At 55.2% G+C, this 27,589-nt stretch overlaps 2 protein-coding genes across 5 annotated transcripts, besides 3 other annotated features; one reads left to right on the top strand and one right to left on the bottom strand.

The window, feature by feature from the left end:
• TBXA2R (thromboxane A2 receptor) lies at positions 5 to 12,373 on the top strand. Of its 3 annotated transcripts, none has more exons than NM_201636.3 (4): positions 5 to 350; positions 6,163 to 7,031; positions 10,947 to 11,143; positions 11,804 to 12,373. In NM_201636.3, exons 2-4 carry the CDS (start codon positions 6,246 to 6,248, stop codon positions 12,042 to 12,044), a joined length of 1,224 nt encoding a protein of 407 aa, NP_963998.2. In that variant the 5' UTR covers positions 5 to 350; positions 6,163 to 6,245; the 3' UTR covers positions 12,045 to 12,373. The 3 variants fall into 3 exon arrangements, with proteins under 3 accessions (NP_963998.2, XP_011526516.1, NP_001051.1); XM_011528214.3 differs by adding an exon at positions 4,148 to 4,265 and having other exon boundaries at positions 10,947 to 12,373; NM_001060.6 differs by having other exon boundaries at positions 10,947 to 12,373.
• Positions 57 to 106: a silencer, noted in NCBI's record as "silent region_9854". NCBI's record gives its function as "represses an Ori minimal core promoter by ATAC-STARR-seq in GM12878 lymphoblastoid cells {active_cell/tissue: GM12878}" and the evidence as "EXISTENCE:reporter gene assay evidence [ECO:0000049][PMID:35858748]".
• Positions 454 to 1,028: an enhancer, noted in NCBI's record as "H3K27ac-H3K4me1 hESC enhancer chr19:3605850-3606424 (GRCh37/hg19 assembly coordinates)". NCBI's record gives its function as "activates a minimal SCP1, AML or CMV promoter by ChIP-STARR-seq in primed H9 embryonic stem cells {active_cell/tissue: H9 hESC(primed)}" and the evidence as "EXISTENCE:reporter gene assay evidence [ECO:0000049][PMID:30033119]".
• Positions 2,138 to 2,187: an enhancer, noted in NCBI's record as "active region_13740". NCBI's record gives its function as "activates an Ori minimal core promoter by ATAC-STARR-seq in GM12878 lymphoblastoid cells {active_cell/tissue: GM12878}" and the evidence as "EXISTENCE:reporter gene assay evidence [ECO:0000049][PMID:35858748]".
• Positions 13,339 to 21,402, bottom strand: GIPC3 (GIPC PDZ domain containing family member 3). Of its 2 annotated transcripts, none has more exons than NM_001411144.1 (6): positions 21,058 to 21,402; positions 20,200 to 20,385; positions 19,886 to 20,066; positions 17,325 to 17,437; positions 16,955 to 17,049; positions 13,339 to 16,841 (listed from the first exon to the last, which is right to left on the bottom strand). In NM_001411144.1, exons 1-6 carry the CDS (start codon positions 21,280 to 21,282, stop codon positions 13,592 to 13,594), a joined length of 4,050 nt encoding a protein of 1,349 aa, NP_001398073.1. In that variant the 5' UTR covers positions 21,283 to 21,402; the 3' UTR covers positions 13,339 to 13,591. The 2 variants fall into 2 exon arrangements, with proteins under 2 accessions (NP_001398073.1, NP_573568.1); NM_133261.3 differs by having other exon boundaries at positions 16,968 to 17,049.

Raw genomic sequence — 27,589 nt, 5'->3', positions numbered from 1 at the left:
AGACAGAGACTGGACGGAGAGAGCGAGCCGCGGGCTGCCAGCGGCCCCCACCCGTCCCAGCTCGGCTTAGCCCCCGCGGACCCCTCCAGGCCGCGACCCCAGGGCGTCCTGTGCCGCCACGCCCTCCATCTGTGTGGGTCCTCTGCTGGGCCCGCCCCTGGTCACAGCCAGACTGACTCAGTTTCCCTGGGAGGTCCCGCTCGAGCCCGTCCTTCCCCTCCCTCTGCCCGCCCCCAGCCCTCGCCCCACCCTCGGCGCCCGCACATCTGCCTGCTCAGCTCCAGACGGCGCCCGGACCCCCGGGCGCGGGATCCAGCCAGGTGGGAGCCCCGCAGATGAGGTCTCTGAAGGTGAGGTCGCCCCGCTGGCTTAGGGCGGGATGCACTGCTCTGGTGTGAGCCCGGGCTGCTGGGCGCATCCGGCGCTGGCCCTGCCCTGCTGTGGGTGTGTCGCAAAGCCCGCGGTGACAGCGGCCAGGTGCCAGGTGTCCCCTGTGTGGCCCGGCGGGTGGCATGGTGCCCTGAGGCCTGCCCTGGGCGCCCAGGCGGCTGGGTCTGGGTGCGGCCCAGGCTGATTCTGTCCGGGGGGCTCTCTGGTCTCTGTGGGGCCACATGGCTGTGAATGGGGGTCCCAGACTCAGGGGGCTGCAGCCGGGGAGGGGGCCCAGGCCCTGGGTGTGGCAGGGATCGAGTGTGGTTGTGCGGCTGTGTGTGTGATCTTGTCTCTGGGAGTGAACCATGCATGGCCCTGGTTGTGTGTCTGTGTCTGTGCGTGTGTGGTGGTTTTGTGTGTGTGACCGTGTGTTTGTTTCTGCCGAGAGTCTGTGACTGTTAAATACTGTGTGTTCTTCTGTGTGTCTTTCTGTGTCTGTCTGTATCTATGTACCTGTTGTGTTTCTGCCTGTGTGTCTGTGTTTTTCTGTCTGTGTCTGTCACATTTCTGCCTGTGTGCCTATGTGTGTATCTGTGTGTGTCTATGTCTGTCGTGTTTCTGCCTGTATGTGTCTGTGTGTGGCTGTGTGTCTGTTGTGTTTCTGCTTGTGTGTGTCTATCTGCGTGTGTCTGTGTGTCTGTTGTGTTTCTGCTTGTGTGTGTCTGTGTCTGTCATGTTTCCATCTGTGTGTGTCTATCTGTATGTGTCTATGTATTTGCCATGTTTCTGTATGTGTGTCTGTGCATGCCTGTGCGTCTGTCTACTGTGTTTCTGTCTGTCACATTTCTGCCTGTGTGTCTGTCATGTTTCTGTCTGGGTGTGTCTGTGGTGTTTCTGTGTGTGTCTATCTGTGTGTGTCTGTGTATCTGCCATGTTTCTGTATGTGTGTCTGTGCATGTCTGTGCATCTGTCTGCTGTGTTTCTGTCACATTTCTGCCTGTGTGTCTGTCATGTTTCTATCTGTGTGTGTGTCTGTGTGTCTGCCATGTTTCTGTGTGTGTGTCTGTGCACGTCTGTGCGTCTGCCTGCTGTGTTTCTGTCTGTCACATTTCTGCCTGTGTGTCTGCTGTGTTTCTGCCTGTGTGTGTCTGGCTGTGTCTGTGTGTCTCGAGTGTGCACACACGGTGGTGGCCTGAGGTGCATGTTGGTGGAATCACTGTAACTTGTGGTCCACCATTAACCACCAGCTGCACCTCCCGGGTCCCGCCCCCTGGTCCCTGCTGGCCCCTGTGTGACGGAGCTCCGTACATGCTCCCTGGGGAGCCCCCACTAGAGAGATGGGGAAAGCGAGGCTCACAGGGGGCCATGTGACTTAGGGCCCCAACAAGGCTGGCCGGAGTCTGGCTGGCTGGGGGAGTCCCCGCCCTGCACTGTGTGGGCTGGGGACCCTGTTGGTGTCACAAACAGGAAATGTTCTCGGAAATGGAGCTTTGCGATGAGGGGAGGTGGGCCCATCAGGGTGTGGAGTGTGTCTGCCTCCGCTACCATGTGGGGGTCCACGCCCATGAGCGTTCAGATCTACAGCAGGCATGGGAGGGTCTGGCCGGTCCCTGAAGTTTCAGTCCCAAAAGGGCCCTGTGGGTCCAAGGTCCAAGGCCGACAGGGGTGACACGGAGCCTCAGGGCTCCCTGCTGGCTGCCCGGGCACCTTGTAGGGAGTTGAGCTGTGAGTACAGCCAGGAGCCCTGCAGAGGTGAGAGCCAGGGAGGCCTGAGCTTAGCACCCGCAGGCATGGAGATCAGAAGCTCACCCCCATTGCACAGAGCGGGGAAACTGAGGCTCGGCAAGGTGGAGCCCCAGCCTGGCCACGGCAGATCAGGGACTAGAGCCTCCAAGCCTGTCTGGGGGAGGTGGGGTGGGCTCAGGCCGTGACAGGCAGGCGGGGCGGGCAGGGTGGGGTGCTGAGGAGAGGGGACTTGTTGAGAAATGGATGGATGATGAGGTGACGTGCTCCAGGGAGTGGGGGAGGGGGCACGAGGATGGAACATGGGGCGGAGGAGAGGCCTGCTGTTTGGGAACCAAGGATCACATTCCACTGGCAACCAGGCTTGGGGCAGCCAGGCCTGGTGCCCACGCCCAGCCCAGCGCCCGGGCCTCTGGAAACAGCGCCGGACAGAGCCCTCCGAGTCACACGACCTGCAAGCCGGATACCCTGTCAGGGGTGGCATCGGATGAGGGAGAACTCACTGTCCGCCTTCCAGAAAGAAGCCAGGAATTAAGACAGAGATTTCTGGAACCCGGGACCCAGGCAGATTCCCATCAAAGTTGCAGGACCTCAGCCTCTTGGGAGTTGCAGGACCTCAGCCTCTTGGGATTCTAGAATTGTGAGGCCTTCTGCGTCCCAGGACTGGAAGCGTGTTAGAATTCCACAACCCTGAACCCGCTGAGGGCAAACGTCTGCTCTCAGACTGCAAAATTCTGGAGTTATTCAACATCGAAAAGCGATCTTGGGTCCACACCTCTCCCCAGACACAGGGAGGGACAGTAATTTTCCCAAGAGCCGCAGTGCTGCTCTACTGCCCCACCGCGTGGGGGCCCCTGCTACCCCTCCTGGCCAATGCAGGAGGGAAGGGAGGCCCTGCCCGGTCCCCCCATTGGCATCCTTGCCTGGAGAACTTGAGATGGCTGCCATCGCCTGAAGCCAGGGTGGGGAGTGGAGGTGGGGGGATTGGAAACAGCCAGCTGTGGCCAGAAGGACTCAGTGCCAGTTTCCAGGCTCCCCTGGGCCAAGGGCTCTGGGCCATGCATTTGCTCCCAGCCACCGGAGGTGTGAGGGAGTTCCGGGTGTGTGACCCCCGGTGAGTGGAGTGGAGTGTGGTCGAGGAGACCCTGAGACCCAGGAGGGACTGGAAGTTGCTCCAGGCAGAGGTCGGGTCAGTGGCCGCAGGGACAGCCGAGTCCCAAGGAATGTCCAGAAACAGCACATACCAGCTCTCGAGGGAGGAACGCCTTGTCCCAGGGGAAATCCCAGTGCAGGAATCCAAACCCCAGGCGCCAAAGCAGCCCGGAGTGGAGGGCAACGATCGCCAGAGGCCGCGAGGAACCCCCCACCGCATCTGCTCTCCAGGCCTCAGTTTCTCCTCTGGAAGCCCTGCCTCCCACCACGGTGGCAGTGGCCTTAGCTGTCTTCCCAGGAAGGGAGTTCAGTGCCGCTGTCAGGAGCTGGATAATTTATGAGGCTGGATACAGCGTAGCCAAGGCCAGAAGCCAGGCCAAAGCGTCACAAGTGAGATGGGGAGTGAGGGCCACAGTCACCCATTTGACCGCCCTGGAATGCGTTAGCTGCTGCGACCCCACAGCCCAGGCCCTGCCTCAGGGCCAGCATGCATTGAGTGCCCGCTGTGCTGTGCTGAGTGCTGCGCGTGGATCCCTTCACTCCCGTCATCAGCAACCCCGACTTTTTTTTTTTTTTTGAGATGGAGTCTCGCTCTGTCGCCCAGGCTGGAGGGCAGTGGCGCGATCTCAGCTCACTGCAAGCTCCACCTCCCGGGTTCACACCATTCTCCTGCCTCAGCCTCCCAAGTAGCTGGGACTACGGGCGCCCGCCACCACGCCTGGCTAATTTTTTGTATTTTTAGTAGAGACGGGGTTTCACCGTGTTAGCCAGGATGGTCTCGATCTCCTGACCTCGTGATCCGCCCACCTGGGCCTCCCTCTTTTCTTTTCTTTTTCTTTTTTTTTTTTTTTTGAGACGGAGTTTTGCTCTTGTTGCTCAGGTTGGTTCAGTGGCACGATCTTGGCTCTGGGGCCCTGTTTCCGGCCCACAAACATCACTTCCCCTGTCGGGTTCAAGCGATTCTCCTGCCTCAGCCTCCCGAGTAGCTGGGATTACAGGTATGCACCACCACACCCGGCTAATTTTTGTATTTTTATTAGTTGAGATGCGGTTTCACCATGTTGGTCCGGCTGGTCTCAAACTCCTGACTTCAGGTGATCCGCCCTCCTTGGCTTCCCAAAGTGCTGGGATTACAGGCGTGAGCCACCACGCCTGACCGTAATAGGACCTTTTGAGCCTTAACTGCCTGGCACCTCCATCTCGCACACAGTCCCATTCGCCCACCTTTGCCCACCCAGTCCCTCCAGGTGACTTGGGGGTGTGTCAGGGCAAGAGGCAGGAGACCCGGGTTCCATCCTAGCCTCCTGGGTGACTTTACAACCAGCCACAACCCTCTGGACTTTGACATGACCCATGGGGTATGGGGAGCTGGTTTTGTTTTGTTTTGTTTTTTAGACGGAGTCTCGCTCTGTCACCCAGGCTGCAGTGCAGTGGCACGATCTCAGCTCACTGCAAGCTCCTCCTCCCAGGTTCACGCTATTCTCCTGCCTCAGCCTCCCGAGTAGCTGGGACTACAGGCTCCCGCCACCACGCCCGGCTAATTTTTTGTATTTTTAGTAGAGACAGGGTTTCACTGTGTTAGCCAGGATGGTCTCGATCTCCTGACCTCGTGATCCGCCCGCCTCGGCCTCCCAAAGTGCTGGGATTACAGGCGTGAGCCACCGCACCTGGCCGTTTTGTTTTCTTGAGATGGAGTCTCGCTCTGTTGTCCAGGCTGGAGTGCAGTAGTGCGATCTCGGCTCACTGCAACCTCTGCCTCCCGGGTTCAAGCATTTCTTCTGCCTCAGTCTCTTGAGTAGCTGGGATTACAGGCGCCCGCCACCATGCCTGGCTACTTTTTGTATTTTTAGTGAAGATGGGGTTTCACCATGTTGGCTAGGCTGGTTTCGAACTCCTGACCTCAGATGATCCACCCACCTCAACCTCCCAAAGTGCTGGGATTACAGGCATTAGCCACTGCACCCAGCCAGAAGCTGGTTTTTGAACCATCTCATTTTATTTTTACTTCACTCATCACACCTGGCCCCATTTTTTTGTTTTTTGGGGTTTTTAGCGTTTTTGTTTGTTGGTTGGTTGGTTTTTTTTTTTTTGAGACAGGGTCTCACTGTTGCCCAGGCCGGAGTGCAGTGGCACAATTGTAGCTCACTGCAGCCTCAACATCTGGGGCTCAAGCAATCCTCCAACCTCAGCCTCCCAAGTAGCAGGGATTACAGGTGCATACCACTACACCCAGATATATATATATTTTAAGAGATAGGGTCTCGCTATGTTGGCCAGGATGGTCTTGAACTCCTGACCTCAAGTGATCCGCCCACTTTGGCCTCCCAAAGTGCTGGGATAAGAGGCGTGAGCCACTGCGCCTGGCTTGGCTCCGATTTTGTTGTGCATTGTGGCTGAGCGTTAGCCCCACACAGAGTAACAGGTCCCCGCCTGCTGCTCTCTACCAACCATCCCTGGGGAACCTGCCATTCCGAAGAAGTGTTTTTTGTTCCCAAAATAGAACTGGATTTCAGGGTTTATTTCTTATTATAAAACCGACACCATGAAAATGGAGGAAAAGGCCGGGCACGGTGGCTCACGCCTGTAATCCCAGCACTTTGGGAGGCCGAGGCGGGAGGACTACTTACTACAGGGTATGTGCCTGTAGTCCCAGCTATTTGGGAGGCTGAGATGGGGGGATCACTTGGGTCCAGAAGGTCGAGGCTGCAGTGAGCCTTGATTGCATCACTGCACTCCAGCCTGGGTGACAGAGCAAGACTCTGTCTCAAAAAAAAAAAAAAAAAAAACCGGAGAGGATATTTGAGCTGGGGCATTGAAGGTTGTGTAGGAGTTCACCAGAGCTACTTACACTGAAATGCAGAATTAATCACAAGCAAATCTTCTCTCGCCTCCCAGGTGTGCCTGAACCAGTGCCAGCCTGCCCTGTCTGCAGCATCGGCCTGATGGGGTGGTGACTGATCCCTCAGGGCTCCGGAGCCATGTGGCCCAACGGCAGTTCCCTGGGGCCCTGTTTCCGGCCCACAAACATTACCCTGGAGGAGAGACGGCTGATCGCCTCGCCCTGGTTCGCCGCCTCCTTCTGCGTGGTGGGCCTGGCCTCCAACCTGCTGGCCCTGAGCGTGCTGGCGGGCGCGCGGCAGGGGGGTTCGCACACGCGCTCCTCCTTCCTCACCTTCCTCTGCGGCCTCGTCCTCACCGACTTCCTGGGGCTGCTGGTGACCGGTACCATCGTGGTGTCCCAGCACGCCGCGCTCTTCGAGTGGCACGCCGTGGACCCTGGCTGCCGTCTCTGTCGCTTCATGGGCGTCGTCATGATCTTCTTCGGCCTGTCCCCGCTGCTGCTGGGGGCCGCCATGGCCTCAGAGCGCTACCTGGGTATCACCCGGCCCTTCTCGCGCCCGGCGGTCGCCTCGCAGCGCCGCGCCTGGGCCACCGTGGGGCTGGTGTGGGCGGCCGCGCTGGCGCTGGGCCTGCTGCCCCTGCTGGGCGTGGGTCGCTACACCGTGCAATACCCGGGGTCCTGGTGCTTCCTGACGCTGGGCGCCGAGTCCGGGGACGTGGCCTTCGGGCTGCTCTTCTCCATGCTGGGCGGCCTCTCGGTCGGGCTGTCCTTCCTGCTGAACACGGTCAGCGTGGCCACCCTGTGCCACGTCTACCACGGGCAGGAGGCGGCCCAGCAGCGTCCCCGGGACTCCGAGGTGGAGATGATGGCTCAGCTCCTGGGGATCATGGTGGTGGCCAGCGTGTGTTGGCTGCCCCTTCTGGTGAGTAGGGGCTCTGCGGGGTCCTGCTACCCTCCTGACTGGACCTCTGGTCACCCAGGGTGGATTTAGATCCTGATGGTGGGACCGGGCGCGGTGGCTCACGCCGGTAATCCCAGAACTCTGGGAGGCTGAGGCGGGAGGATCGCTTGAGGCCAGGAGTCCGAGACCAGCCTGGCCAACATGGTGAAACCCTGTCTCTACTAAAAATACAAAAATTAAGGCCAGGCGTGGTGGCTCACGCCTGTAATCCCAGCACTTTGGGAGGCCGAGGCGGGCGGATCATGAGGTCAGGAGATCGAGACCATTCTGGCCAACACGGTGAAACACTGTCTCTACTAAAAATGCAAAAAAATTAGCCAGGCGTGGTGGCAGGCACCTGTAGTCCCAGCTACTCTGGAGGCTGAGGCAGGAGAATGGCATGAACCCAGGAGGCGGAGCTTGCAGTGAGCAGAGATTGCGCCACTGCACTCCAGCCTGGGCGACAGAGCGAGACTCCGTCTCAAAAAAAAAAATAAAAAATAAAAAAATTAGCCAGACATGGTGGCATGTGCCTGCAATCCCAGCACTTTGAGAGGTCAAGGCAGGAGGATTGCTGGAGCCTGGGAGGTTGAGGCTGCAGTGAGCTATGATTGCACCACTGCACTCCAGCCTAGGTGACAGAGTGAGACCCTGCCTCCAAATTAAAAAAAAAGAAAAAAAATAGAAAGCAGCCGTAGAAAACACATAAATGAGTAGGCGTGGCTGTGGCCAATAAAACTACTGATGGATAGATGATGAAATTTGAATTTCATGTCATTTTTATGTCACTCAATTTTTGCCTCTATTTTGTTTTCCTCTAACCATTTAAACATGGAAAGAAATTCTTAGTAAAAAACAAAACAGGCCGGGCGTAGTGGCTCATGCCTGAAATCCCAGCACTTTGTGAGGCAGAGGCGGGCAGATCATGAGGTCAAGAGATGGAGACCATGCTGGCCAACATGGTGAAACCCCGTCTCTACTAAAAATACAAAAAATTAGCCGGGCGTGGTGGCGCACGCCTGTAGTCCCAGCTACTTGGGAGGCTGAGGCAAGAGAATCGCTTGAACCCAGGAGGCGGAAGTTGCAGTGAGCCGAGATCACGTCACTGCACTCCAGCCTGGGTGACAGAGCGAGACTCCGCCTCAAACAAAAACAAAAACAAACAAACAAACAAAAACAGGCCAGCCACGGTGGCTCATGTCTGTAATCCCAGCGCTTTGAGAGGCCGAGACAGGCGGATCACCTGAGGTCAGGAGTTCAAGACCAGCCTGGCCTACATGTTGAAACCCCATCTCTACTAAAACTAAAAAAAATTAACTAACCATGATGGCACACTCCTGTAGTCCCAGCTACTCAGGAGGCTGAGGCATGAGAATTGCTTGAGCCCAGGAGGTGGAGGTTGCAGTGAGCCAAGATTGTGCCACTGCACTCCAGCCTGGGTGACAGAGCAAGACTCTGTCTCAAAAAAAAAAAAAAAAAAGAAAAGAAAAGAAAGAAAGAAAGAAAAGAAAAGAAAAAAAACCCAAAGCAAGTGGCAGGCCAGATTTGGCCCATGGGTCAACCCTTGCTCTAAACCCTCCCATGGCTCCCTGTTGCCCTCAGAAGAAAGTTCTCACAGGCACTTCCTGCAGACGCACCTTGCCCACTCCCATTTGCCCTTCAGTGACTTCCCTAGGCCAGGTCAGGCACCTCTTCTGGGCTCTGACATTGCTTCCTCCTCACAGCTTTGCCCACCCCATGCTGTAACTCCCCGGACCCAGTTTCCGTCTCCCGACTGGACTGTGAGCCTATGAGGGTGCGCCCTGGGAGTTCCTCAGCTGCTGTTGCTGCTTCATTCAGCCTACAGGACCTACTGCTCAGGAAATGATTTGATTGATTGATTGATTTAATTTATTTAGAGATGGAGTCTCGCACTGTTGCCCGGGCTGGAGTGCAGTGGTGCGATCTCAGCTCACTGCAAGCTCCGCCTCCCAGGTTCAAGCGATTCACCTGCCTCAGCCTCCCGAGTAGCTGGGATTACAGGCGCCCGCCACCATGCCCGGCTAATTTTTTTTGTATTTTTAGTAGAGACGGGGTTTCATCGTGTTAGCCAGGATGGTCTCAATCTCCTGACCTCGTGATCTGCCCGCTTCAGCCTCCCAAAGTGCTGGGAGTATAGGTGTGAGCCACCGCACCCGGCCAAATTATTTTATTTTATTTTAAGATGGAGTTTCGATGTGTCACCCAGGCTGGAGTGCAGTGGCACAATTTTAGCTCACTGCAACCTCTGCCTCCTGGGTTCAAGGGATCCTCCCACTTCAGCCTCCGGAGTAGCTGGGACTACAGGTGTGCACCACCACACCCGGCTAATTTTGTATGTTTTAGTAGAGATGGTGTTTGACCATGTTGGTCAGGCTGATCTCAAACAAAGTATTTTAATATAATGTAACATTTAATTATAATATAATTGTATGATATATGATATATATCAATTATAGGCCACATTATAATTATGAATAATTATCATATAATTGATTATTATATATTATATACTAATTTGTAGATAACATTCTTATTTTAAATATTTTTAAATATAGTTTAAAAATTTCCTGCCAGGCGCGGTGGCTCATGCCTGTAATCCCAGCACTTTGGGAAGCTAAGGCGGGTGGATCACCTCAGGTCGGGAGTTCAAGGCTAGCCTGACCAACATGGAGAAACCCCGTCTCTACTAAAAATACAAAAAAATCAGCCAGATGTGGTGGTGCATGCCTGTAATCCCAGCTACTCGGGAGGCTGAGGCAGGAGAATCGCTTGAACCCAGGAGGCGGAGGTTGTGGTAAGCCGAGAACCTGCCATTTCACTCCAGCCTGGGCAACAAGAGTGAAACTCCGTCTCAAAAAAAAAAAAAAATTTCCCATCAATCCTGACCTATAGATAAATATAATTTTTATTATTTAAATATTTTATTTATGGCCAGGTGTGGTGGCTCACACCTGTAATCCCAGCACTTTGGGAGGCCGAGGAGGGCAGATCACAAGGTCAGGAGATCGAGACCATCCTGGCTGACACAGTGAAACCCTGTCTCTACTAAAAATACAAAAAATTAGCCGGATGTGGTGGTGGGCGCCTGTAGTCCCAGCTACTCGGGAGGCTGAGGCAGGAGAATGGCGTAAACCCAGGAGGCGGAGACTCCGTCTCAAAAAAAAAAAAAAGGTATTTATTTATTTATTTTGAGACAGGATCTTGCTCTGTCACCCAGGCTGGAGTGCAACCATGCCTGGGTAACTTTTCTATTTATTTTAACTTTTTGTAGACATGAGGTCTCACTATGTTCCCCAGGCTGGTCTTGAACTCCTGGGCTCAAGTGATTCTCTCCTATTTACCTCCCAAAGTGCTGAGATCACAGGCGTGAGCCACTGCCTGGCTAAGAGTGCGCTAATTTATGAACCCATCAAAAGGAGCTCAGAGCGGTTAGTCAACTCTCCTGAGGTCACCCAGCAATGCAGTAACAGAGTGGACACTGGCCGGGCGCAGTGGCTCACTCCTGTAATTCCAGCACTCTGGGAGGCTGAGGCTGGTGGATCACCTGAGGTCAGGAGTTCGAGACCAGCCTGGCCAACATGGTGAAACCCCCATCTCTACGAAAAATACAAAAATTAGCCAGGTGTGGTGGCAGCCACCTGTAATCCCAGCTACTTGGAAGGCTGAGGGAGGAGAATTGCTTGAACCCGGGAGGCAGAGGTTGCAATGAGCTGAGATCGCACCACTGCACTCCAGCCTGGACGACAGAGTGAGACCCTGTCTCAAAAATAAAATTAAAAAACGGAGTGGACCCTGGATCTCAAGGGACCCCGGGCAGGGACCGGGGCGGGCGGGGCTGGAGGCGGGGGCCCAGGCTGACAGCTCTCCCCTTTGCAGGTCTTCATCGCCCAGACAGTGCTGCGAAACCCGCCTGCCATGAGCCCCGCCGGGCAGCTGTCCCGCACCACGGAGAAGGAGCTGCTCATCTACTTGCGCGTGGCCACCTGGAACCAGATCCTGGACCCCTGGGTGTATATCCTGTTCCGCCGCGCCGTGCTCCGGCGTCTCCAGCCTCGCCTCAGCACCCGGCCCAGGTCGCTGTCCCTCCAGCCCCAGCTCACGCAGCGCTCCGGGCTGCAGTAGGAAGTGGACAGAGCGCCCCTCCCGCGCCTTTCCGCGGAGCCCTTGGCCCCTCGGACAGCCCATCTGCCTGTTCTGAGGATTCAGGGGCTGGGGGTGCTGGATGGACAGTGGGCATCAGCAGCAGGGTTTTGGGTTGACCCCAATCCAACCCGGGGACCCCCAACTCCTCCCTGATCCTTTTACCAAGCACTCTCCCTTCCTCGGCCCCTTTTTCCCATCCAGAGCTCCCACCCCTTCTCTGCGTCCCTCCCAACCCCAGGAAGGGCATGCAGACATTGGAAGAGGGTCTTGCATTGCTATTTTTTTTTTTAGACGGAGTCTTGCTCTGTCCCCCAGGCTGGAGTGCAGTGGCGCAATCTCAGCTCACTGCAACCTCCACCTCCCGGGTTCAAGCGATTCTCCTGCCTCAGCCTCCTGAGTAGCTGGGACTATAGGCGCGCGCCACCACGCCCGGCTAATTTTTGTATTTTTAGTAGAGACGGGGTTTCACCGTGTTGGCCAGGCTGGTCTTGAACTCCTGACCTCAGGTGATTCACCAGCCTCAGCCTCCCAAAGTGCTGGGATCACAGGCATGAACCACCACACCTGGCCATTTTTTTTTTTTTTTTTAGACGGAGTCTCACTCTGTGGCCCAGCCTGGAGTACAGTGGCACGATCTCGGCTCACTGCAACCTCCGCCTCCCGGGTTCAAGCGATTCTCGTGCCTCAGCCTCCCGAGCAGCTGGGATTACAGGCGTAAGCCACTGCGCCCGGCCTTGCATGCTCTTTGACCCTGAATTTGACCTACTTGCTGGGGTACAGTTGCTTCCTTTTGAACCTCCAACAGGGAAGGCTCTGTCCAGAAAGGATTGAATGTGAACGGGGGCACCCCCTTTTCTTGCCAAAATATATCTCTGCCTTTGGTTTTATTTTCCTTTGGGTCCAGAAGTTTTCAATCTCTGGAGTTTGTGCATTGGGCCTCACCCGGAGCAGACGAGGGCAGGGCTGGGAAGGATGGGGAGGGACATAGAGGATTCGGTTCCTCCCCCACCTTGTTTCTTGAGTGTTTCCTAATCACTTGATGGGTGGTACCACCTAGAATTCTTCCAGCAGCCTGTAATGGGAGGGCTACAGGTTAGCCCTGGAACCTGCAATCAAACCACCTTTGAATCTGTGTGTCATTAAAAGTAGATATAAATGGGCCGGGCGCGATTGTTCATGCCTGTAATCCCAGCATTTTGGGAGGCCGAAGCGGGAGGGTCACTTGAGGCCAGAAGTTCGAGACCAGCCTGGCCAACATGGTGAACCCCTGTCTCTACTAAAAATACAAAAATTGCAGGGCGCGGTGGCTCACGCCTGTAGTCTCAGCACTTTGGGAGGTCGAGACGGGCAGATCACCTGAGGTCGGGAGTTAGAGACCAGCCTGACCAACATGGAGAAACCCCGTCTCTACTAAAAATACACAAAAAAATTAGCCGGGCGTGGTGGCGCATGTCTGTAATCCCAGCTACGCGGGAGGCTGAAGCAAGAGAATAGCTTGAACCCGGGAGGTGGAGGTTGCAGTGAGCCGAGATCACGTCATTGCACTCCAGCCTGGGCAACAAGAGCAAAACTCTGTCTCAAAAAACAAACAAACAAACAAACAAACAAACAAAAAATTAGCCAGGCATGGTGGCGGGCGCCTGTAATGCCAGCTACTCAGAAGGCTGAGGCAGGAGAATTGGTTGAACCCAGGAGGCAGAGGTTGCAGTGAGCCGAGATCATGCCACTGCACTCCAGCCTGGGCGACAGAGTAAGACTCCATCTGTAAATAAGTAAATAAATAAAACAGAGAAAGAGAGAGAGAGATGCAAAAGCGTGGAGTGATGCCCGTTTCCTCCACTGTTCACTTGTTCACCCAGCAACCTTTCAAACACCACAGTGTTCTGTACAGCACCTTGCACATAGTACGTGCTCAATAAATATTGGTAGAAAGGACCAGTGGCTGGGTCTTCGTGGAGCACCTGTCGCCTGCAGGCACGTAAGCTCATGCCTGTGCGGTGCTTAATGAAGTGCCTGGTACACAGTAGGTGCTCAAGAGGTATTCAGTGTTGCCACAGTTTCAGCCAGCCCCCCAGCCCCACATCTCTGCATTCCCCCAAACTTCCCCCAAAATGACACACCAGGCTGCAGAGATGGAAGGTGCCTTTATTCACCATGAGCCCTCAGGGTACATGCGGTGCAACCCGTCTCCTGCCCTCCTTTTCCCTCCAAGGACCTGGATCTGAGCCAGGACCGGTGAAGCCCCTGTTTTCACCACCGCACACTCCCTACCACCGCCTGCTGGAGAAATAAGGTCACTTGCTGCTTCTGGGGGCCCCAGGCTGGAAGGGACAGGAGAGGACGAGAACCACATGAACCAGGGCTAAGTCACAGCCAAGCTACGGCCCCCCGCGGTAAGGGCGGGCTCCTGGCTCCCCCAGAGTGGGGCAAAGGGCTGGCGCCAAAGCTGGGGACTCAGACAGCTGGGAACTCAGGAGGGCTGCCCTAGGGGCAGGACTAGGAGTGACAGATATGGTGGGTGGGGTGGACTTCTGGGGTCCCACCCGGGGCTTGGGAGAGACGGCTGGCTTCTGGGGGGTTGAGGAGACCTGTGACTGTGGGGCCAGGTAGGAGGCTTGGGGTAAGCCTGGGATGGGGCCAAGGCTGGCCTGGATGCCACATACCTGATCATGGGGCTGAGGCAGAGGCTGGGGGTCTTTGCTAGGGGCTGGGGTGGGGTCTCTGGGGGATGGGCCTGGGGGCTGAGGTTGGGCTGGGGCAGGGGCCTCAAGCTGGATTCTAGGGTCAAGGCCAGGGGTCTGTGGGCAGATTCCATTTCCAGGGCTCAGCCAGATTCTTGAACTGGTGTGAGTTCTGGAACTGGATTGGGTTCCAGAAACAGGCTGGGTTCCAGAACTAAGGTGGGCTCCAGGGCTGGGCTGAATTCTTGAGCCGGTCTGGGTTTCAGAGCTGAGCCCGGTCTCAGAGCTGGACTGGGTTCTGGAACTAAGTTGGGCTCCAGAGTCGGGCTGAATTCTTGAGCCGGTCTGGGTTTCAGAGCCAAACTGAATCCCAGAACTGAACTGGGTTCCAGAGCTGGACTGAGCCTCAGAGCTGAGCCTGGTCTCAGGACTGGACTGGGTTCTGGAGCTAAGATGAGCTCCAGGGCTGAGCTGAATTCTTGCAGTGGTCTGGGTCCCGGAGCTGAGCTGGTTTCCAGAACTAGTCTGAGTTCTGGAGCTGGGTTGGGCTCCGGAAATCAGCTGGGTTCCCGAACTAAGCTGACTTCCAGAGCTGGCTTGAATTCTTGAGCTTATCTGGGTCCCAGAGCTGGGCTGAGTTCCAAAGCTAAGCTGACTTTCAGAACTGCTCTGCTTCCCAAAGTCCAGTTGAATACCAGAGCTGTCTGGGGCTGTGGTCTGGAGCTGGTATCTAGAACCTGGCAGGGTTTTAGAGGCGAATTGAGTCCCAGAGGCTGGTCGAGCTCCTGGGCAGCGCTGGGTCCTGGAGCTGGACCTGCTGTCGGAACTAGACAGGGCTGTGGAGCTTAATTCTATTGCTGCGATGGCCTGGGTCCCAGGACTAGATTGGACTCCAGAGCTTAGCTGGATTCTGGAACTTGGCTGGGTCTCAGCTGCTGTCTGTGTTTTGGAGCTGGCTGGGATTTCAGAACCAGCCTGTGCTCCAGAACTGAGCTGAGTTCCAGAGCTGGGTGCGGTGCTTGGGCTGGATTGAGCTCTGGAGCTTGGCCAGGCCTTGAAATTGGTCTGGGTCCTGGAAGTAAACTGCATTCTAGAGCTGAGCTGCATTGTGCAAGGAGAGTGGGGCTTGGCACCAAGCTGTGTGCTGGAGCTGGGTCTTGCTTCCAAGATGGATGGGGTTCCAGAGCTGGTCTGAATCCTGGAGTTGGGCCTGGTTGTAGCACTAGGCGAGGTTCTAGAGCTGGGCTCAGTCTCAGAGCTGGAATCATCACTGGAGCTGGACTGGGCTGCAGGATGGGGATGGGCACTTGGATGCAACTGGGGTTGGGATCTGGACTGGGCAGCCGTGTGGACCTGGGTTTCTGAGCTGGTCTGAGTTCTTGAATAGGATTTGATTTGGGAGCTGTCTCTGAATCCTGAGCTGACTGGGGTTCCAGAGCTGGGCTGCTTCATGAATCTCACATGGGTTCCAAAATTAACTGGGGTTCCGGAGCTAGACCGAGTGTCCAGGTGTGGCTGCATCGTGGAGCTGTCCAGAGTTCCAGAGTCAGCTTGAGTTTTCCAGCAGGGCTTGGTCTCCGAGCTAGCCTGGATTCTGGAACTGGGATTGGTCTCCAAGCTGGTCTGGGTCTTAAAATGTGTCTGGGTTCCAGAGTTTGGCTTGTTGTCAGGGCTCAGCTGGATTCTAGAGATGTGCTTCGTCTCAGAGCTGGCCTGGGCTTCAGAGCAGGGCTTGGTCTCAGATCTTATCTGGGTTCTAGAGCTGGGTTTGGCCTCAGAGGTGGCCTGAGTTCTAGAACAGGGCTTGGTCTCAATGCTGGGATTGGTTTCAGAGCTTATCTGGGTTCTAGAGCTGGGCTTGGTCTCAGGGCTGACCTGAGTTCTAGAGCTGGGCTTGGCTTCAGATGTGGCCTGAATTCTAGAACACGGCTTGGTCTCTATGCTGGGCTTGGTTTCAGAGCTTATCTGGGTTCTAGAGCTGGGCTTGGTCTCGGAGCTGGCCTGGACTCTAGAACAGGGCTTGGTCTCAATACTGGGCTCTGTCTCAGAGCTCATCTGAGTTCTAGAGCTGGGCATGGTCTCAGAGCTCATCTGGGTTCTAGAGCTGGGCTTGGTCTCGGAGCCCATCTGAGTTCTAGAGCTGGGCATGGTCTCAGAGCCCATCTGAGTTCTAGAGCTGGGCTCGGTCTCAGAGCCCATCTGAGTTCTAGAGCTGGGCTCGGTCTCAGAGCCCATCTGAGTTCTAGAGCTGGGCATGGTCTCAGAGCCCATCTGAGTTTTAGAGCTGGGCTCGGTCTCAGAGCCCATCTGAGTTCTAGAGCTGGGCTCGGTCTCAGAGCCCATCTGAGTTCTAGAGCTGGGCATGGTCTCAGAGCCCATCTGAGTTCTAGAGCTGGGCATGGTCTCAGAGCTCATCTGGGTTCTAGAGCTGGGCTTGGCCTCAGAGCAGGCCTGAGTTCTAGAACAGGGCTTGGTCTCAGTGCTGGGCATGGTCTCAAAGCTCATCTGAGTTCTAGAGCTGGGCTTGGTCTCAGGGCTGGCCTGAGTTTTAGAACAGAGCTTATTCTCAATGCTGGGCTTGGTCTCAGAGCTGGCCTGGGCTCTAGCACATAGCTTGGCCTCAGATCTGGGCTGGATTCTAGAGAAGGGTTGGGTTCTGGAGTTGGGCTGGGGCTCCAAATTGGATTGGGTTCTAGAGAGGAACTTGTCCTCCGATCTGGGCTGGGTTCTGGAGCAGGGCCGGGGCAGGGGGCTGGGCTCCGGGCTGGGGCTGTGCTGGGCCCCCCCAGGGCAAACTAGCCACAGGCCTCTCTGGCCTCGCCGATGGCGGCCCACACTTCCACCACAAACTCGTCGGGGAAGGCGAACTCGCCCAAGACGGAGTCTAAACAGCGTGCAAACTCCTGGGCGCTCGCTGTCTTCTTGGACGTCTCCACCATGGTGGACGCTGCGGGCCGTGCCAGAGGGGATGTCAGTGAGGGCACTCCCCGCGCCCAACTTCCCGCTGGGACCCCTGCCTCCTCCCGTAGGCTTCCCTCCCCCCAGGGCCCCCTGGCTTACCCTGGCCCCTTACCCAGCTCGGGGTCCCGAATGCCCATGTAGCTTTCCAGCAGGTCATCAACCTTCCGAGATGCCTCCTCCTCAAACTCACTGGGCTGGGGGCACACGGGAGGGAAGTCAGGGGTGAAAAGCTTTGGAGCCCTCCAGCCCAGCCCCCTCCCGACCCCCACCCCTAAGGGAAGAGTAGACTGGACCCTCACACGAGTCAGTAGTGCTGGTACCAACATCATTGCCCCACTTTTCAATGAGGACCCATTTTGCAGGCAGAGAAACTGAGGCTCCGAGGAGAAGTTCTTACCCAAGACCGCACTGACTCAGTGGAGGAGCTGAAGGTGCAGAAGCCTGGGGAGAGCCCCTCCCCTTCACTCACCGCTTCCTCCACTGTGGCAGCCCCCCCAGAACGAAGCCGCAGGGTCTCCCTCCCGCTGGTCACTTTCGCCTCTACTGGACATTTGCTGGACCGACTTCTCTGGCCAATCATATCTGGAGGGAACAGAGTGAGGGATGGCCATGGGTTCTGGGTGGAGCCACATCTTTGTAAACCCTGGGAGGCCAACAGCCGAGCCTTTCTAGAATCTTCCTCCCCTTCAAAGTCCTCCTTACATCTGTACGGCAAGTCTCCAGAGACCTATTCGAGATTCCACACTTCGCATCCCCAGCAAACTAAATCACAAGTCCAGAATGAGGTGTTGTAATGGAGCAGGTTTAGAACTAACATCCCAGTTCCATGCCCTCACTCTCCCTCTTCTAGCGACTTTCTCTAGAAGGGACTGCTTGGGACCCTCCTTGTGGTAGGATCCTCAATCTAGATATGTTCTTGTCTGGGTTCCAGAACCCGGCTTAGTGTCAGGACTGAGGTGCTAGAAACACACTTAGTCTCAGAGCTGGCCTGGGCTTAAGAGCAGGGCTTGGTCTGAGAGCTGGCCTGGGCTCTAGAGCTGGGTTTAGTCTCAGACTAAGCTTGATTTTTTTTTTTTTTTTTGAGATGTTGTCTTGCTCTGTCACCCAGGCTAGAGTGCAATGGCACGATCTCGGCTTACTGCAGCCTCCACCTCCCAGGTTCAAGCGATTCTCCTGCCTCAGCCTCTCGAGTAGCTGGGATTACAGGCACCTGCCACCATGCCCAGCTAATTTTTTGTATTTTTAGTAGAGACAGGGTTTCACCATATTGGCCAGGCTGGTCTCGAACTCCTGACCTCGTGATGCACCCGCCTTGGCCTTCCAAAGTACTGGGATTACAGGCTTGAGCCACTGCACCCAGCCAGGTTTTTTTTTTTTTTTTTTTGATACGATGGATCACCTGACCTCAGGTGATCCACCTGCCTTGGCCTCTCAAAGTGCTGGGATTACAGGTGTGAGCCACCACGCCCGGCCTAAACTCTATTTTTAGGCATGGCTTTTGGAGTTCACAGCCACGGCAGGGCAGATTCTAGAACCCCATACAGCTCACTCTCCCTGGGACGTCTCTCCATGTGTGCTGGGGCACTTCTAGAATCTCTGTCTCTGTTCTATAGAACAACGCTATCCAAAGGGCCAACCCATGGCTACATGAGGAGAATGTGCTAGTGTGTAAATCAATACACTGTTTTCTTCATTGAGAAAGTCTAGTTATGAAAAAAAATGGGCAGGGTGCAGTGGCTCATGCCTGTAATTCCAGCACTTTCGGAGGCCGAGGCGGGCAGATCACCTGAGGTCGGGAGTTCGAGACCAGCCTGCCAACATGGAGAAACCCCATCTCTACTAAAAATACAAAATTAGCCAGGCATGGTGGCACATGCCTGTAATCCCAGCTAGTTGGGAGGCTGAGGCAGGAGAATCACTTGAACCTGGGAGGCAGAGGTTGTGGTGAGCCGAGATCACACCATTGCACTCCAGCCTGGGCAACAAGAGCAAAACTCCGTCTCAAAAAAAGAAAAAAATTAAAAATTAGCTGGCACGGCCAGGCGCGGTGGCTCACACCTGTAATCGCAGCACTTTGGGAGGCCGAGGTGGGCGGATCACGAGGTCAGGAGATCGAGACCGTCCTGGCTAACACGGTAAAACCTCATCTCTACTAAAATACAAAAAATTAGCCGGGTGTGGTGGCGGGCGCCTGTAGTCCCAGCTACTCGGGAGGCTGAGGCAGGAGAATGGTGTGAACCCGGGAGGCGGAGCTTGCAGTGAGCTGAAATCTAGCCACTGCACTGCAGTCTGGGCGACAGAGCTAGACTCCGTCTCAAAAAAAAAAAAAGAAAAGAAAAGAAAAAAGAAAGGAAAAAAAAAAGAAAAGAAAGAAAACTTTTTTCTCATATTCTCATTCTCTACAATCCACCATGACCTCAAAGCACTGCTTTAAAAGTTCCCAGGCTGCGCGCGGTGGCTCACGCCTATAATCCTAGCATTTTGGGAGACTGAGGCGGGTGGAGCACTTGAGGTCAGAAGTTCGAGACCAGACTGGTCAAGATGGTGAAACCCCGTCTCTACTAAAAATACAAAAATTAGCCAGGCGCAATGGTGGGTGCCTGTAGTCCCAGCTACTCGGGAGGCTGAGGCAGGAGAATCGCTTGAACCCGGGAGGTGGAGATTGCAGTGAGCTGAGATCGCGCCATTGCACTCCAGCCCAGGCAACAGAGTGAGACTCCGTCTCAAAAACAAACAAACAAACAAACAAACAAAAACAAGTCTCCCAGCCTGGCTCCAAAGTGGTTCTGGACGCGTCCTCCTCCAACTCCACTTTACCCAGTCTCTCCCCCACCCCTCCCCCACAGGCTGACTCCATAACAATCTATTAATAGAAACTACCTACGAGTTTCTGATACCCTGCCAGGAGCTCCTTGGCACGCAGCGGGTGCACCTAGAACCTTCCAGCCCGTCCCATCCCCGACCCTCCTCCACCCCAGGCATCCGTAGAACGCACTTCGGGAAGAGCTCCCGCCAGCCCACCCGCCTCACCGAAGGCCCTCTTGGGCTGCACCAGGCGCAGGGTGAAGGGCTGGGACTTGGGCAGCTCCCGGAGCATCTTGGCCACCTCGTAGTGGCGGCAGCCCACAATGGAGTGGTCGTTGATGGCTTCGATGCTGTCACCCACGCACACTGCCTCGATCCGGTTGATGATACTGCCTTCCTTGATTCTCTGCAGGGATCCAGCGTCGCTGGCAGGGCAACCCCAGCCACCCGCCTCCAATCCGCAGAACCCACGTCGACCCAGAGTGGGGGGGGCAGTTGCTGGACCCCAGGAAGCCACCCGCCCACCCCCTCCCGGGCACCTTGATGAAGGCGTAGCCAGCCCCGTTGTCCGTGATGGTCAGCCCCAGAGCATCCTCTGTCTTAGTGACCTCCACCTCCTTGGTCTCGCCTCGCACGTGGGCAAAGATGAAGTCCTCCAGGCCTATCTGACCCCCCAGGAGCTTCTGCATGTCCACTTTGTGGCTGTTGAGGGTGCAGAATAAAATCTTCCCGGGGGAGAAGGAGCCTAGAGTTAGCCAGGGCATGCATCCCCCCACGCAGCCACCCTGTCTGCGCAGGCCCCTGCCCCCAGCGACCAGGATCCCAGCCCATGGGAAAGGGCAGGGCGTGGGACCCCCAGAACAGAGAGAGGAGGGAGAAGGAGACTTCCAGCAGGTGGAGACCCCTCTCCATACCCCGGGACCTCCAGCCCCCAGACCTCCAGGTTTAATCTGCTGGCGCCCCCTGGGGGCTGCAAACCAAACGAACCCGGATTGGAAAAACGCCCAGGAACCCCCCAACCCCACGGCGGCCTCAAACTTCCCATCCCTAAGGGGGCCATCTGGAACCCCAGACCCCAGCTACGCCCAGGAAGCACAGAGGCGCTTCCCCGAGGGCTGGGGTCCGCTCCAAGCTAGGTCTGCGCAGAGGATTTTCTGGAATATCTAGGGGTCCGCTAGTCCTAAGACCTGCCCATCTTTTGCGCAGAGCGTGCAAAGGGGGCCCCTGGGAGTGTGGCACCCCGGGATCTGAGGGCTGGGTCTCTGAGATCCGGCGATTAGGCGGCCACCCCGACGTCTGGGATCCGGGGATCTGGGGTCTCCCGTCCAGGGTCCAAGCTCCCTACCCCTCACCCCATCAGGCGGGTGGTCTTGGGCGCCGGTGTCCGGGCTCCTTACCTCGGTGGGCGCGATCCCGAAGGCTTCGGCGATCTTGGCGTACAGCTCGCGGACGTTGGTGAAGCCCTCGATCTTGCCCGTGGGGCTCCCGTGCGCCAGCTGCGTGCGGAAGACGAGGCGCGGGCGGGCGCGGGGCGCGGCCGGGGGCTCCGAGGGCGCGGGCGGGGGCGCAGACGCGCGCGGGGTCTCGGTCCCCCGGGCCTCCCGGGCCGCTGCTCCCTCCATGGCGGGAGAAGTTCGGCCACCCACCCGGGCCCTCGCCGCCGCCGCCGGATCCGCCGCTTCCTGCAGCCTCCCCTCCCCCGGCCCAGGGCGCGACAGCCGAGACGCCCGGGTAAGGGGATCTGGGAACCCGAGCCTCCCGGGAAGGCGACACCGCGGGGTGCGCAGGGGTGGGTCGGGCCCCAGGTGTCCGGGCCCTGCCAGGGCCAGCTGTGCCCTCCCCGGGGATACCCGCAGTCCGGGGGGGCCTGAGCTCAGGACCCTGGAAGAACAGGGACCACAAATAAGGACAGGGACAGGCCTGGAGCGGTGGCTCACGTCTGTAATTCCAGCACTTTGGGAGGCCGAAGCGGGCAGATGACCTGAGGTCAGGAGTTCAAGACTAGCCTGGCCAACATGGTGAAACCCCGTCTCTACCAAAAATACAAAAATCAGCCGGACGTGGTGGCGGGCGCCTGTAATCCCAGCTACTCGGGAGGCTGAGATCTCTTGAACCCGGGAGGCGGAGGTGGCAGTGAGCTGAGATGGCGCCATTACACTCCAGCCTGGGCAACAAAGCGAGACTCCGTCGCAAAAAAAAAAAAAAAAAAAAAAAAAAGGACAGGGACAGCTGAGGGTGCTGGAGCACTCACCCTCTGCTAGGCGAGGTCATTGTTTTATTTTATTTTATTATTTTTATTTATTTATTTATTTTGAGCTGGAGTCTCGCTCTGTCACCCAGTTTGGAGTTCAGTGGCACGATCTCAGCTCACTGCAACCTCTGCCCACCAGGTTCAAGCAATTCTCATGCCTCGGCCTCCCCAGTAGCTGGGATTACAGGCATATACCACCATGCCCGGCTAATTTTTTTGTATTTTTAATAGAGATGAGGTTTCACCATGTTGGCCAGGATGGTCTTGAACTCCTGACCTCAGGAATCCACCCACCTTAGCCTCCAAAAAAGCTGGGATTACAGGCATGAGCCACCACGCCCAGCCTTTGGTTTGTTTGTTTGATTTTGGAGACGGAGTCTAGCTCTGTCGCCCAGGCTGGAGTGCAATGGCGTGATCTCGGCTCACTGCAACCTCCACCTCCTGGGTTCAAGCGATTCTCCTGCCTCAGCCCCCCTAGTAGCTGGGATTATAGGCGCACACCACCATGCCTGGCTAATTTTTGTATTTTTTAGTAGAGACAGGGTTTCACCATGTTGGTCAGGCTTGTCTCGAACCCCTGACCTCAGGTGATCCACCTGCCTTGGCCTCCCAAAGTGCTGGGATTACAGGCGTGAACCACCGCACCCGGCCGCATTCAGTTTTTTAAAATTTAATTTAGAAACATGATTAATTTTTTGTACAGTTGGGATCTCACTGTGTTGCCCAGGCTGGTCTCAAACTCAAGACCAGGAGGTTCAGGCCATCCTTCAGCCTTGGCCTCCCAAAGTGCTAGGATTACAGATGTGAGCCACTGTGCCCAGCTTCTCTTCAGCATTTAAAGCTACCATCTGACATATCAGATATTTTATTTTATTTTATTTTTTGAGACGGAGTCTCTCTCTCTTGCCAAGGCTGGAGTGCAGTGGCACGATCTCGGCTCACTGCAACCTCTGCCTCCCGGGTTCAAGCGATTCTTCTGCCTCAGCCTCCTGATTAGTTGGGATTACAGGCACCTGCCACCATGCCCAGCTAATTTTTTTTGTATTTTTAGTAGAGACGGGGGTTTCACCATGTTGGCCAGGATGGTCTCGAACTCCTGACCTCAAGGAATCCTCCCGCCTCAGCCTCCCAAAATGTTGGGATTACAGGCTTGAGCCCCAGCCCCCTGCTGATATTTCATTTCATCTTTTGTCCTGTTTGTCCCCAGGACTGGAGGAATGTCAGCTCCAGGAGGGTGGGGGCTGTTCCCCTGCTCTGTCCCCATGCCCAGTGTCCAGGGCACAGTGCCTGGCATACAGCAGGTGCCCAGTGATCTTTGGTGAGGAATGAACGGATGTCCAGGTCACAGATGAAGGAGGAGACCCCAGGCACCAGGAGGCGTTGGTAAAAATCCGCTGGAGTGCAATGTCAGAAACACCTACGTATCCATCAGATTCCTACCCAGGAATGTCGGCTCAATAAACAGCCATCCTGCCTGCAGTGGCGGGCCCTACAGCAGAGCCAGTCACAGCCTCCGCCCAGGAGGAGCCTCACAAACTGAACATGGGGAGAGAAAAGAAAGTGGCAGGAGGGTTTGGACGAGGTAAGAAATTTTATGTAAGGCCGGGCACGGTGGCTCATGCCTGTAATCCAGCACTTTGGGAGGCTGAGGCAGGCGGATTGCTTGAGGTCAGGAGTTCGAGACCAGCCTGGACAACGCAGTGAAACCCCATCTCTACTAAAAACACAAAAATTAGCCAGGTGTGGTGGCGCACACCTGTAGTCCCAGTTACTCGGGAGGCTGAGGCAGAATTGCTCCAACCTGGGAGGCGGAGGTTGCAGTGAGCCAAGATCATGCCACTGCACTCCAGCCTGGACAACAGAGTGAGACTGTCTCAAAAAAAAAAAAAAAAAAAAAAGGCCAGGTCTGGTGGCTCACCCCTGTAATCCCAGCACTTGGGGAGGCCAAGGAAGGCAGATCACAAGGTCAAGAGATCAAGACCATCCTGGCCAACATGATGAAACCCCATCTCTACTAAAAATACAAAAATTAAATTAGCTGAGTATGGTGTCATGTGCCTGTAATCCCAGCTACTTGGAAGGCTGAGACAGGAGAATCACTTGAACCCGGGAGGCGGAGGTTGCAGTGAGCCAAGATCGCGCCACTGCACTCCAGCCTGGGACAGACAAGAGCGTGACTCCGCCTCAAAAAAAAAAAAAGAGAGAGAGAGAGGGATTCACCTGCCTCAGTCTCCCAAGTAGCTGGAATTACAGGCATGCACCACCATCCCTGGCTATTTTTGTATTTTTAGTAGAGACCGGGTTTCACTATGTTGGCCAGGCTGGTCTGGAACTCTTGGTCTCAAGTGATCTGCCTGCCTCGGTCTCCCAAACTGCTGGAATTACAGGCGTGAGCCACTGTGCCCAGCCCACACAGCTTTTTGAATGTACCAAAACCTACTGAATTGTATACTGAAATTTTTTTTAATAAAAAACTGCTGCAAAATGCTATTTTCCAGGCCTGCCTAGAAATGAGAAACTCTAAATTTAAGGTGGTGGTACCTGTGCCAGGACAGGGTGAAACTGGGGTGGGGAGTGAGGGGGGTTGGCAGTATCAGGTTGTCTGACTCGCCCATGATGGCTGTAACAAAGCACCAAAAACTGGGTGTGGTGAGGTGGCTCTTGACTGTGATCCCAGCACTTTGGGAGGCCGAGGCGGGAGGATCACTTGAGCCCAGGAGTTTGAGACCAGCCTGAGGAATAAGGTGAGACCCCATCTCTACAAAAAATACAAAATTAGCGGGGTGTGGTGGCACACACCTGTAGTCCCAGCTACTTGGGAAGCTGAGATGGGAAGATTGCTTGAACCCAGGAGGTATAGGCTGCAGTGAGCTGTGATGGCATCTCTGCACTTCAGCCTGGGTGACAGAGCAAGATCCTGTCTCAACCACAAAGAAACAGCTGGGTGCAGTGGCTTATGCCTGTAATCCTAGCGTTTTGAGAGGCTGGCCCAGATGGATCGCTTGAACCCGGTAGTTCAAGACCAGTCTGGGCAACATAGTGAGACCCCATCTCACAAATACCAATAAATTGACTGGGTATGGTGGCTCATGCCTGTAATTCCAGCACTTTGGGAGGCTGAGGTGGGTTGATCACTTGAGGTCAGGAGTTTGAGATCAGCCTGGGCAACATGGTGAAGCCCCATCTCTACTCAAAATACAAAAATTAGCCAGGCTTGATGGTGAGTGCCTGTAATCCCAGCTACGTGGGAGAATCGCTTCAACCCGGGAGGTGGAGGTTGCAGTGACCTGAGATCCAGCCATTGCACTCCAGCCTAGGCAATAGAGCGAGACTCTGTCTCACAGAAAAATAAATAAATAAATAAATTAAATAAATAATTAGGCAGGAGTGATGGCAGGCACCTGTGGTCCCAGCTACTCACGAGAACCAGGTGGGAGGATCACCTGAGCCCAGGAGGTCGAGGCTGCAGTGAGCTATGATTGCGACACTGCACTCCAGCCTAGGTAACATAGTGGGACCCTGTCTCAAAAAAAAAAAAAAAGCTGTCGGGCACGGTGGCTCACGCCTGTAATCCCAGCCCTTTGGGAGGCTGGGGCAGGTGGATCACCTGAGGTCAGGAGTTCGAGACCATCCTGGCTGACATGGTGAAATCACATCTCTACTAAAATATAAAAAATTAGCCAGACATGGTGGTGGGCGCCTGTAATCCCAGCTACTCAGGAGGCTGGGGCAGGAGAATCGCTTGAACCTGGATGGTGGAGGTTGCAGTGAGCCGAGATCGTGCCATTGCACTCCGGCCTGGGTGACATGAGTGAAACTCTGTCTGAAAAAAAAAAGAAAAAGAAGAAGAAGAAGCAGTGTGGGATGGAGGTGGGCGGGCACAATGGCTCACGCCTGTAATCCCAGCACTTTGGGAGGCCCAGGCAGCAGGACACTTGAGCCAGGAGTTCAAGATCATCCTGGGCAACATAGTGAGACCCCCCCCCAACCCCTAAAAAATAAAAAATAAACAAAAACAAAGCATCACAAACAGGGAGACATAACACAGCAGAAACTTATCCTCTCACAGCTCCAGAGGCCAGAATCCCACAATGAAGGTGTTGGCAGGGCCCTCGGAGCCCCTGGGAAGAATCCTTCCTGGCATCCACAGCTTCTGGCTGTGGGTGGCCTTCCTTAACGTTTCTTGGCTTCTAGATACATCACTCCAGTCTCGGCCTCTGTTGTCACTTGGCTGTCTCTTCTCTGTGTCTGTGTCCAGATTTTATCTTCTTATAAGGAGAGCAGTCATCTTGGACTTAGGGCCTATGCTACTCCAGTAATGACTTAATCTTAACTAATTATATCTGCAGTGACCCTATTTCCAAATAAGGTCACGTTCAGAGGTTCTGGGGTTCAGATTATTCTCCGAATTTTTTAGGATGTCTTATGTATGCCATTAAACGCAGAAGTCCCTGGAAAGGTTTCTCAATAAGCAACACACACACACACACACACGTACACAAAACAAGCCAAATGCAGAACTCCCAGCAATCTGTATCTCCAAAAGAATGGAAAATGTGCATTCTAACAAAAACATGTACATGAATGTTCACAGCAGCATGACTCACAAGTGGTAGAAATAGCCAAGTGTCCTTTGACAGATAGATGGGGTCAATACAGCGGATTCATCCACACACTGGACAATGACTCAGCCACCAAAAGGAATGAGGCTCTGACACAGGCCACAGCGTGGATAAATCTGGAGGACAATCACACTCAGTGAGAGAAGCCAGATACAAAAGGACATATAGTCCGGGTGCGGTGGCTCATACCTGTAATCCCAGCACTTTGGGAGGCGGAGGCGGGCAGATCACCTAGGTCAGGAGTTCGAAACCAGCCTGGCTAACACGGTGAAACCCCATCTCTACTAAAAATACAAAAAATTAGCTGAGTGTGGTGGTACACGCCTGTAGTCCTAGCTACTCAGGAGGTTGAGGCAGGAGAATCACTCGAGCCAGGGAGGCGGAGGTTGCATTGAGCCGAGATCGTGCCACTGCACTCCAGCCTGGGTGACGGAGCAAGACTCTGTCTCAAAAAAAAAAAAAAAAAAAAGGCCACACAGTGTGTGGTCCCATATCCAGGACACGTCAATCCACAGAGGCAGGAAGGGGATTTGTGGGTGCCAGGAGCTGGGGAGGGGATGAGAGTGACTGTTGATGAGGACAGGACTTCCTCTGGGGGTGATGAGAATGCGTTGAGATTAGATAAAGGTGATGACTGCACAAAATTGTGATGTACTAAATGCCACTGAATTGTGCATTTTAAAATGGCTAAAATGGCCAGGCGCGGTGGCTCACGCCTGTAATCCCAGGGTTTGGGAGGCTGAAGCAGGAGGATTGCTTGAGCCCAGGAGTTCAAGGCTGCAGTGAGCTATGATCGGGCCACTGCGCTCCAGCCTGGGTGGCAGAGTGAGACCGCGTCTCCAATAAATAAACAAAATGGCTATGATGGTAAGGTTCATGTTGCGTATTTTACACAATAAACAAAACCGTGGCCCACCCAAAGTCACTGTGCTACAAAGTGGACTTGAACCCCCGTGCGGACACAAGTTGAAGGATGAACTGAGCAGCCGTGACTGTCCCCTGTGCTTCAAGTCCCCCACGTGTGCTGAGCCCACAATGCCCAACTTTAGGTAGGGG

The sequence above is a fragment of the Homo sapiens genome, chromosome 19 (genome assembly GCF_000001405.40).
Source record: "Homo sapiens chromosome 19, GRCh38.p14 Primary Assembly".
Lineage (NCBI taxonomy): Eukaryota > Metazoa > Chordata > Mammalia > Primates > Hominidae > Homo > Homo sapiens.
The sequence above is the reverse complement of the archived record's forward strand: the minus strand, read 5'-3'. Positions and strand labels throughout refer to the sequence as shown.

Bases quoted from the DNA above. Each gene is read 5' to 3' on its own strand.
- TBXA2R (NM_201636.3), top strand. From the start codon at position 6,246: ATGTGGCCCAACGGCAGTTCCCTGGGGCCCTGTTTCCGGCCCACAAAC. The intron at 7,032-10,946 runs GTGAGTAGGGGC...TCCCCTTTGCAG, and splicing joins TGTGTTGGCTGCCCCTTCTG to GTCTTCATCGCCCAGACAGT. The intron at 11,144-11,803 runs GTCGCTGTCCCT...TTTTTTTTTTAG, and splicing joins CGCCTCAGCACCCGGCCCAG to ACGGAGTCTCACTCTGTGGC.
- GIPC3 (NM_001411144.1), bottom strand. From the start codon at position 21,282: ATGGAGGGAGCAGCGGCCCGGGAGGCCCGGGGGACCGAGACCCCGCGC. The intron at 20,386-21,057 runs GTAAGGAGCCCG...TCCCCCGGGAAG, and splicing joins TCGGGATCGCGCCCACCGAG to ATTTTATTCTGCACCCTCAA. The intron at 17,438-19,885 runs GTGAGGCGGGTG...TGTTCCCTCCAG, and splicing joins GCAGCCCAAGAGGGCCTTCG to ATATGATTGGCCAGAGAAGT.